The sequence below is a fragment of the Homo sapiens genome, chromosome 8 (genome assembly GCF_000001405.40).
Source record: "Homo sapiens chromosome 8, GRCh38.p14 Primary Assembly".
Classification (NCBI taxonomy): Eukaryota; Metazoa; Chordata; class Mammalia; order Primates; family Hominidae; genus Homo; species Homo sapiens.
In genome coordinates, this window is record NC_000008.11 from 119,429,370 (window position 1) to 119,440,429 (window position 11,060).

Here is an 11,060-nt window from a genome sequence, read left to right on the forward strand (position 1 = left end):
AGAAAAATAGCTTGCATGGCATCATAAACCTATTATGTGGTAAAGCCAGAATATGAATCCTCACATTCTGAATCCAAAATGTGTATATTTACTCTGCCTTATTGCCTATATTCTGGGTTTCATGTACTCCATTTGGAGAAACAAGTAATTGTTGCACAAGAAACTTGAAAGAATGAATGAATGAATGACCAGCTAATAAGCTGTAAAGGATTTGTGCCTGGATATTGGTCACCACCTGAGGAACTTCCCCGACAGGATGCATGGGGGCCATATGCAGATCTTTGCCAAGGAAAACAGTTGATTTTGGCCAACAATTTTGTGACCAAGAACTGTTAGGAATATGGTCCTGAGCTTTTCACTGGCCCCTGAAATTAAGGTAGTGGTCTTTCTTTTCTGGATTAATTAAGTAATTGATCAAGTCAACAAAAACGTAGTGATCATCTACCATACTCCAAGTCATTTGCTGGAACTGGGAATAAAGCAGTGAACAAGGCAACTACAGTCCTTGCCCTCCTAAAGCTTATAGTCTGGTGGGTTGTATGAGTTTTTCTTTAAACCCTGATTCCCCGGACTAAATTATCTAGATTTGTTTGTTTGTTTGTTTGTTTGCCTTTCCTTTTCTGCTTACCACTTTATGCTCATAGGATTGGACTCCTTAGAACTGAGCCCCATGGTTGGTGCCTCCCAAATTCCAGAGAAGATCCCTAGAGCTGAGTCTGAAGCATTTCTGGCCCCTCCCTGTAAGCCAGCTCCTCAGCTGAAGCCTCCTCAGATGCCAATTTCTCATGTGAAGGTCAGATAATTATGTAGGTCTCTCTGCAACAACCATGGGGAAGGAGAATCTCTTGTACCTACTAAATACACACCTGGACAATTCCAGAAGCACACAGAAAGTTAGGGGTTTCAGAGATCTCCCCTGTAAGACCTCATTCATTAGGAGAACCATCTAATCCCCAAGCCTATGTTCAATAGTGTATTCAGAAACATCATGTAGTGCTCTTTTTCCCTTTGACAGAAAGGCTCAAGTTATATTGTGCCCATACCCTTCTTGGTGCTATATTATCTACCTAGAGTGCCCTCCTTCCTTTAACTTCATCTTTTGAAATCATTTTTATTGTTCAAGACCCAGCCGCCATAAAAAGCTATTTATATTTACTAAGTTTTTCCCAATCCCCACCCTACTTCTTCAACCAAGGCAAAACATGGTAGCAGAACATACTGGCAAACACTGAACTTGGAGTCAAAAAACCAAGCCATGTCCTAGTTGCCTAGCCTCTGGGCTTCTATGTCCACAAAATGAGGATGGTGAATTCAGCAACTTCTGTGGTCCCATCTATATTAACACTTATAGGGTACATACTATGTGTCATATCATTTTTATAAACTTATTTTTCCTACAAGTACAAGATGAGTACTATTACCTCATTTATTGATGAGACTGGAACAGATTCCAACCCAGGGGTGCCTGATTTTACAGCCCAGACTCTTAGCAGCAATGACACACCACAGCCCCCAAGAGCTTATGGTGCCCTTCCTCCTCTTTTTCTCTTTTATTATAATGATCATTCTAAAGGCTCACCTCATTGAATAGTACTGCTTCTGGTTTTTGGATTAGAAAATAACCACCATAGCCTTCAGATTCATCCTGGTCTCTCTAGGCAAGGAGTGACAAAATCAGCAATGAAAATATTAATTAAAATTGCATCTACACAACATCCCAGAAAATGGTAGAGATATAGAAAAGCCAACTATGAAACCAGCTGTTAAAACCATGTCCAGCCAGGTGCGGTGGCTCACTCCTCTAATCCCAACGCTTTTGGAGGCTGAGGCGGGCAGATCATTTGAGGCCAGGAGTTCAAGACCAGCCTGGCCAAAATGGTGAAAGCCCGTCTCTACCAAAAATACAAAAATTAGCTGGGCGTGGTGGCATGCACCTGTAACCTGAGCTACTCGGGAGGCTGAGACATAAGAATTGCTTGAACCCAGGAGGTGGAGGTTGCAGTGAGCCGAGATCACGCCACTGCACCACTACACTCCAGCCTGGGCAATAGAGCGAGACTTTGTCTCAAAAAAAAAAAAAAAAGAAAAGAAAAAAGAAATCCAATGAACAATTTTATTTCTCTTTTTATGGGACCACTTGCTTTGGCAGTCTGCTCAGATGAGATATCGAGGTGCATCTAGAAATATAAAGCATAGACTGATTCATTGAATTGGTCAGATTATTTTTTGAAATGGGTCATTTCAGTCAAACAATTTGTTTGTAACCCAAGTTACTAACTAGTTATTGCCCATTTGATCTATTAAAAACAATTCATCCATTTGGTAAAGCCTCACTAACATTTTTGAAATCAATCTATACAATGTACCTGAGAAAAATATATTAATTAGTTAATACCTTCACTCAATTAAAACTTGGGCATGTCCAAAGTCTGACCACACACCTCTTGTCATATTGGATTGGCCATCACAGGTAAATTCTTACAATGTTGGACACAGATTCTTTAACAAAACAGTTGAACTTCAGTACACACCAAGATGGTTAATGCAACACAGACTGCTCAAGGTTAGACTAAACACAAGGTCCAAGAATTATTTTCTATGGCCCTCCTTAATGACACAAAGCCATACCTTTTAACGGGCATTTTTTTTTCTCACAAAACTTTGTATTGATTTATACATTTCTTCAATTCTGTATAAGTGGGCTGTGAATTTACAAGATCCTCAAATCTCATAAGAGTCACACACCTTTTTCTTCAGTTTCCATCTACTTGTTAGTTCTGTGTTTTCTCTTATTTGAAGACTAACTTTGCAAATGTGCAGAGAAGGTATTCTATTGTATTCTGAGGGGAAAAAATGGCGTTTTTTGACTTGGATGTCCCTGGACTTTACAGTTTCACTCCAAATAATATAGTAACAGCCAAGGCCCCCTGATTTCTGCTACGAGCCCTCAACCCCACATTGGCTAACTAGGTGTATATAGCATTTTGTACATGGGTTTCTAGTAAACCTAGAAAAGAAAGTGCTTTTATTAGTCATCTAGAGATTTTTATAGGCACTTGGCCAAATTCTAAATTGCTCAGGATTTGCATCTTCTAAAGAATAAAAGCCTATTTACACACTCTCACTATTTCAGATTTCCCAGCTAGCTACATGAGAATGTTTTAAAGGGCTGGTAACAATACAACTCACCATGGACCACCTAGATTAATATTAAAAAGGTGATTCTTTGTTTCCAAGATTTTCATGTTTGCCTTCCCCTCTCTTCTCTCTCTCCAATGTATCAATGCCTTGCTTTCTTTTCCTCAAAGGCTTTTGGAAAGCGTAGGCACTCCTCAGGCCATTGGTCCACTGAGTGATATTGAACTTGCTCTGTGTGCTCACTGATGGCCTCTTTTCTAGGATAAACCATCACAACTGCCTTCATCAAGCTTAGAAAATCATCTTTGGGATCGTCCTTAAACTTGAGAGGTAGAAGGCAAACATAGGAGGAATCTCTAGATAAGGACAACTAAGAAAGAACCTTGATCCATCAATAATAGAGTACATCAAGCAGCTTCATGCTCAATCTGAAATTATCATAGTCATCATTATAGGTCACAGATAATACCTTATGGGGTGTGTTTAACCCTTCACATCTCTACAAAATGTCAAACAATATTCTGCACAAAATGAGCACTCAACAAATGTTAGATTAAAAAGAGGAATAAATTGATGAAAAACTAGAAGGATATTAAATGGAGACATTAGAAGGGTGGATAAAGGTATTAATTAGATGAACAAATGAGAACTAGAACTTTATGACTATTATTTCCTCCTTTTTCTAAAAAAAAAAAAGCCTTTGTAAAGTTGATGCTAGAAGTGTAAAAAGTTCCATTAACAATCATCTCAGAAATCTGTACAGAGTTCATACTTCCTCCCATTAAGGACTCCACCTTCCCTTTCCTGGCTCTCAGCACTTCTCCTTTTAGTTCTGTGCCTCAGTGTACATTGTTTCTATTGATTCCTATTCCTAGTCTTACCCTGGCACAATTTCTGATGTATATCTTCCAGCCATGATCTCCCCAGTTTGCCCCTTCCATCTTTGTGAGCTTGGCCAGCTAGGTTGACCCTCTTTCTTCCAACTTGTCCATCAAGTTGTAAGAATTGGATCATTTACTTGAGTTGTTAAACTTAAGACCAGCATCATTCTAATTGATATTGTTTATTCTCTTTGCCTTTGCCTGAATAACAAAGGACTCTCACATCATTGTGAATTACAGGTCTGTCTTTGCCATCAGGTTTTTAATTTTGTTCAGGATTAAACCCATAGTAGTTTAAGGAAGATAGTAACCTCTTCAACTCTAGGGGAAAATGTTGTAAAAGCAGTTTGCAAATTCTAAATCCTCATTTGAAGTAAGCTACTATTTGGGGTCACAAGCTGTCTACACAACCCTAAGATGTTTGAATATAAATTTAAAATTTTGATCATCCAGATGGTTTCTATTTGAAAAAGCCCATTTGGCATTCTAGACGTAACCTCCTGAATGATTAAAGAAGCAATAATCAGGAAGAGTCAATATTTGTTATCTTGTAGACATTTTCTCTATAATGCTTAAGTACCCTAACTGTGATGCAGAGACTAAAATATTATAGCTAGATTTTTAAAAATTTGACCATATGCAAAAATGAGCAAGCAATGTGAATCATTTAATTAAAGAATAAATGACAAGTGGCTGATAAGACAATTATCTTGGTTTTGGTTATGTTTCTGTTCTTTGTAGATCATATCAAATGTTTCAGAGAGTAACTCCTCTTACAAGTATTCTTTATGATGCTAATAAGGTAAAAGTTTCTATGGGCAAACTTCTCTCTATCCTGATTTAATTTTAAAAGACAATATTTATTAAGCAACCAGCATGTGTAAGGTTATTCCCATAAAGGTGATATGCAAAATGCCCAAAGATCTTGATGTCTAAGATCCTCATACTTAATTCCACGAAGATGTAGTATATACCTGAGAATTAATAACCTAACATTACGGAGCAGTTTTGAAACTCAAACATGGCAACATCCTCCTTCCCTATCACAGAAGATAGTCATTGTTAAATTCTGAAGGATATTGGAAGAATTCAATTGTATTTTTCCTCCAGCCTAGAGAGAACTCCTCTGCTGCCATTTTCAGCTTCTGGGTCTCTAACCTGCTGCCATTAGCCCAATACTTGTGATACCTTCATTTGGCAATTTACAGTGGAGTGAAAGAGAAAATAGGGGAACTTAGCTGTCCCAATTCTATCACCACAGGAGTGACATAACACACTCTATCTCCCTTGAGAACCACCTTACCTTTCTTTCTCAAGCCAAATATCTCCTGGACTATGATGGGAACAAGTGAAGGATAAAGTAGGGTAGATCTCAAAAGAAGAGTATGTGGTAGTAGGAGGAGAGGTTAACTTTGTCCAACTTACTCATTCCTTTGTGGCTCACTAGGAAAGGAAATCCTTAAAAGAAACGTGTCCTATATGAATTCTATATATTTCCTTAATATTCTTTTATTTGATTCACACAACCCTCTTTCAAGTCCTCCACTCCAATGTCCAATCTATTTTCTCAGATAACTCTGCCTTCCCCATAAAGCCTTAACCTCTACAAACTCAGGTGCCTCAGGCATTGGCCCGAGTTAATGAAGGTTCCACTCTACTTGGTTCTGTTTGATTTATGAGGACAGGGCTAGAGCAGATTCCTGTGGATGAAGCAGAAAGTAAATGTTTTGAGTTTCATCTTTTGTCATCAAGAGGGTCAGCTGATTTCAAAAGTTTACCTAAAAAGAGAGAGCACCTCAGGGCAAGGATTGACTTTTCCTCAAAAAACAAACCGAAACCGAAAAATACAATCTGGTATTCTGGTATCATGAAAAATGAAATGTCTCCTTTCAGCATGACTTTGACCTCACCTTCTGGGGAAACAAGGATCCTAGAATTATTGAAGGAGGAGAACATGACCCTTTCTTAGGCCTGATTGATTCTCCTCCATTTTGATAGGGTAGCTCAAGTTCTAACTAGGTTAAGTTCCATTTCAAACATTTTTACACACTTTATCTCATTCAACGTTCGAAACTACCCACTGAGGCATGTATATTTCTGCCCATTTTATTTGTTAAGGTACCTTAAAAATGCTTACATTTTAGTTAATGATTCTGGCATTTGAGAGAAAAACAAGCAATCTGTAAGCTCAAAAGAGATAACATAAAATAAGTTTATTTGAACCATCGGTCATGTTTCCCACAAACTACTTAAACCTTTAACTGTCTTACTTTTTCAAAGGAATAGAAAGGCATCTTCCCGGTTGTGTGGCATTTGCCCTTTTCTAGAAAGCTCTTAAGCAGTCTTCATTAGATAACTTATAGAATGTAATATTCATTAAATAGACATCAATCCGTCATCATGGGCTGAGAGTATACCCTTTTCTCTGTATTATAAGGCATAGAAAATATGTTATATAACACACTTTCACAGACTTTGCAAATGATAACCCACTTTGCAGATGACTGACCTACCCAAGAAAAATTAAGAAATGAGGGTGAGCGTTCTATTCTCTCTAAATCATGTTTCATTTCAATTTATTCTCAATATCCAGAAGGATAACTGATGCTTTTTGGATGAGCTCATTTAAACATGTCGAACTCTTTTTACAAAGATTAATTAGAATGTGTCAGCTATGCTGGTGGCAAAGCCATCTTGTTTAAAGTCTTCAAGAAGTAATATACAAAGCAAGATTACAACTGCTCAATCTTTAGCATGACATGCATAAAATCAATATTTCAAGTTCCTTTGGGAGTTACAGCCCAACATGCTGCTTATAAATCGTCATAATGACCTCAGCCAGCCCCTCCTGTCCAGTGGGGAAAGTGGAATTACTCAGACTTCGAGGGGAGACTTAAAGACTGGGCAGTTCACAAGGGCTGTGAATAGGCTGATGGTTTTCTAGAAGAAAAATGTCAGATGTAGAAGTTTCCTAGATGCCATGCCATAATCAGTCCCATCTGCTCCAAACTCAGAGAGCCAAAGTCACTCATTGAGAAAGCTTTGGAACAGCAAAGCATGGGCATGTTCAGAGACAATAGTGAATGACTTCTCACTATACACGAGATTCCAAGTAGCAGGATTTCTAAACGTTCCATGCAGAAGAGGACACCAAAATATCCTCTGGGAGATCTTCTTTTATATCTCACTTAATGAAAGCAGTTTCTGTTAACTGATCTCTCTGGATTAATCAATATCTTTAATTTCTGGACTGCTCAACTTTGTGAAAAACTGAGGTTCTCCTTTACAATTTGGACAAGTCTAATTTTTCAGTTTCTCTCACTGGTGTTTTGAAACCCTAGCTCTACTTGAGGATATTTTAAGGATAATCTGAAGAATAGGAGCTTTAGAATTTACTAGTATAGTGTTCTCAACCAGAGATAATTTTAGTCCCCATACAACATTTAGTAATATCTGGAGACATTTTTGATCATGGCAAACTGAGGGAGGACTGCCACTGGCATCTGGTGGGTAAAGGCTAGGGATAATTCTAAATATCCTACACAAGACAGCCCTCCACAGCAAGAAATTATCTGCCCCCAAATGTCAATAATGCCATGGTTGGAAAGCCTTGCACTAGCAAAATGGCAAAAACCCAAGTTTAACCAATGGCCAAAGCTCAGTTTTAACGACAGATAAAAATTCCCTCATACCATGTTGCAGGAAGCAGAGAAAGAAAGCAGTCTAATCATTTCAGTGGTGAATAAGAAATCTCTGAAAAGAGATGTTACAGAGACCACTTTTGTGACACAATCAACCAAGCCAAAAAAAAAAAAAAAAAAAAAAAGGCCTTCCAGTTGGGTCTTACAATACAATTTGGAAAAGTAAATGCCAGAGACAACTGGAAAAAAGAGTTGATGCCCAAACAGATTTCCCTGTTGTGATGCATGTTAGCTGACTTAAGAGCCTCCAAGTCCCCAAAGTGTTAATTTCCAGAAAAATTGAAAGAGGAGGGGTTAAGTTAAACATACACTGTGAGTTGTTCTTACGCTACAGTTGAAGAGAGATCTTGAAATATATTTTTCATTCATTTTCTCTCTTTGTGTCTCCCCTATGTGAGAAATATGGCATGCACAATTGGCGCCTATATTATCCTCTAGCCAATACTTTATCCCAGTTGCCTTAGCAACTGTCAATATTTGTCTGGTATGTCACAGCCCCAGTTGGCTGATGGCTGGTTGAACATCTACTTGTAAAGTTTAGGAAAGAGAGACACCCAGTGGTCTAAATTAACTGAGTTGCTGAAAGCCTGCTTCATTTTATTTTCACTTCAGAAATGTTTATTAATTTTTAAATCTGATCTTCTGTTAATCATCAACAATCCCCACAATTAAACTTATGAAGGGAGAAAAGAACATGTGTTGGCACACTTACTTTTTCTGTAAAGTCCCAGACAGTAAATATTTTAGGCTTTGCGGGCCATATGGTCTCTGTTGAAACTATTCAATTCTTCCGTTATAGCACAAAAGCAGCATTAAACAATATGTAAACAAATGAGAATGGCTGCATTCCAATAAAATTGTACTTACAAAAGCAGACAGCAAGCCAAATTCAGCCCATAGGCAACAGTTTCCTAACCCCTGCAAGAGAAGATAGAATGTATGTGCTTTTTCAATCTGTACATTTAACTGCCCCTTTCCCTCCCTCAAATTTTAAGGCAACTAGAAGAATCACTGCAAAAAGACACATCAATATTCATTCACTAACATTAATACAACTATTTACCATGTTCCAGACACTGTTTTAGGTGCCACAGTCACAGCAATGTACAAGACAGTTGCTCTGGACCAAGTGCTGTATCCCCTCAAAATTTAATGTTGAAATGTTGAAATTCTAATCCCCAGTGGGATGGCATTTGGAGATGGAGACTTTGGGAGATAATGAGGTATTGAGGGTGGAGTCCTCATGATGGAATTAGTGTCTAAGAAGAGACAGGCCAGAACTTGCTTCATCTCCATCCTTCTACCATGTAAGATTACAACAAGAAGCTGGATATCTACAAAGCAGCAAGAGGGCCCTCACAAGACACCAGACTGCCAGCACCCTGCCTTCCCAGCCTCCAGATTGTGGAAAATAAATGTTTGTTGTTTAAGCAACCCAGTATCTGATATTCTGTTACAGCAGCCCAAACTAAGACAGCAGTTAACGACCTCTCTGTCTTTGTGGAGCTTATATTTACCGTTAGTAATATAATATATAAATAACAGGTCTTGTAAGTCAAATGATAGTAACTACTGTTAGAATATTTCAAGGCAGAAGCAGGACAGGGAATAATGAGTTTAAAAAAATGTTATAGATTGGATTGCATTTCCCCCAAAAAATATTGAAGAACTAATTCCTTGTACCTGTTAATGCAATATTATTTGGAAATATGATCTTTGAAGATGTAAGCAAGTTAGGAAGAGGTCATTAGGTAGGACCTAATCTGGTATGACTTGTGTCTTCGTAAGAAGATGAAATGCCACAGGAAGACAGACCCTGGGAGAGCCCCATCTGATGACAGAGAAAGAGACAGGAGTGATGCAGCTGCACACCAAGGAATGCCAAAGACTGCTGGCCATATTCAAGCTGGGAAGAGGAAAGAAAGGATTCTCAGAGGGCCATGATCCTGATGACACCTTGATATCAGCTGGTTTGCCTCCAGAACTGTTAGGGTATACATTTCTGTTGTTTTAAGCCACACAGAACACAGCCGTAAGAAACTAATGCAGAAACAGAGAGAATTGTTACTGTTAAAAGGGTGGCAAAGAAAGGCTTCAGTGAGAGGGTGAAGGAGCAACTCACAGGGTTGCGTGCGATAGTAATCAAAGCAGAGGAAACAGCACGTGTTAAGGCCCTGAGGCAGGAGGATCACAAGGGTGTTCTTGTGCCTGGGGCAAAGTGAGTCACAGGGAGAAAGGGGAGTAATAAATCAGAGAGATAAATGGAGCAAGATGACAAAAGTCCTGTGGGATACTGCATGGAATTTGGCTTTTATGCTGAGTGAAATATGATATTAAAGAATTTTGAGTAGAAGAGTGACATGTCATATGATGTTTATGAAAAGCATTGTTCTGGCTGTCCTATTGAGAATATATCCCATAGAAGCAAAGATGGAAGTAGAAAGACCTATTATGAGGATACTGCAATTATCCAGGAGAGAGATGCATGGAGTAATAGTGGAGGTGGTGAGAGGTGTAGGATTTATTGTTAGAAGAGGATCTACTGACATATTAGATACGAGGTGTGAGGAAAAGTGAAGGTCAAGGATGAATTCAAGGTTTTTGCTTCAGGCAAACTGTAGTTTGAACTTGTGATGAGGAAGACTGGCATAAGAGCAGATTTCCTTGTAGGGGTGTGTCAAGAGTTCACTTTTGAGCATGTTATGATAGGGATGTTATTAGATAAATAGTTAGATCTCTGGGCCTGGAGTTCAGGAGAAAGTTCTAGGCTGAAGATTTTAAATGTGGGTTATAATTAGTACAGGTGGTCCTCAGTATTTGTGAAGGATTGGTTCCAGGACCCCCCTCACATACCAAAATCTGCAGATGCTCAAGTCCCTTATGTAAAATCATGTGGTGTTGGCATATAACCTACACACATCCTCCCATGTACTATATTTAAATCATCTCTAGATCATGTATAATACATATAACAATGTGAATTGTATGTAAATAGTTGTTAAGCTGTATTGCTTAGGGAATAATACAAGAAAAAAAGTCTGTACATGTTGAATACAGACACAATTTTTAAAATATTTTTTATCTACTATTGGTTGAATCCACGGATGTGAAATCCAAGCATATGGAGAGCCAGTTGTGCATAAATGGTGTTTAAAGCCATGAGACCAGATGAAGTTAACAAGGAAATTAGTATAGATGGGGTAGGGAAGAAAAGTATTTAATTGATTGAGCCCTGGAGGACTGCAACCTTCACTATTAAGTCTACAAAGAGAAATGAGCCAGTTAAGAAGGTAAGAAACTGCTAGAAAGGTAGGAAAACCAAGAGATCATGAGGTCCTGA

General features: G+C 38.4%; 1 annotated feature.

The window, feature by feature from the left end:
• Positions 9,307-10,506: an enhancer, noted in NCBI's record as "BRD4-independent group 4 enhancer chr8:120450916-120452115 (GRCh37/hg19 assembly coordinates)". NCBI's record gives its function as "activates an origin of replication core promoter dependent on BRD2, P300/CBP, MED14 and CDK7 cofactors, and independent of BRD4, by STARR-seq in HCT116 cells {active_cell/tissue: HCT116}" and the evidence as "EXISTENCE:reporter gene assay evidence [ECO:0000049][PMID:35650434]".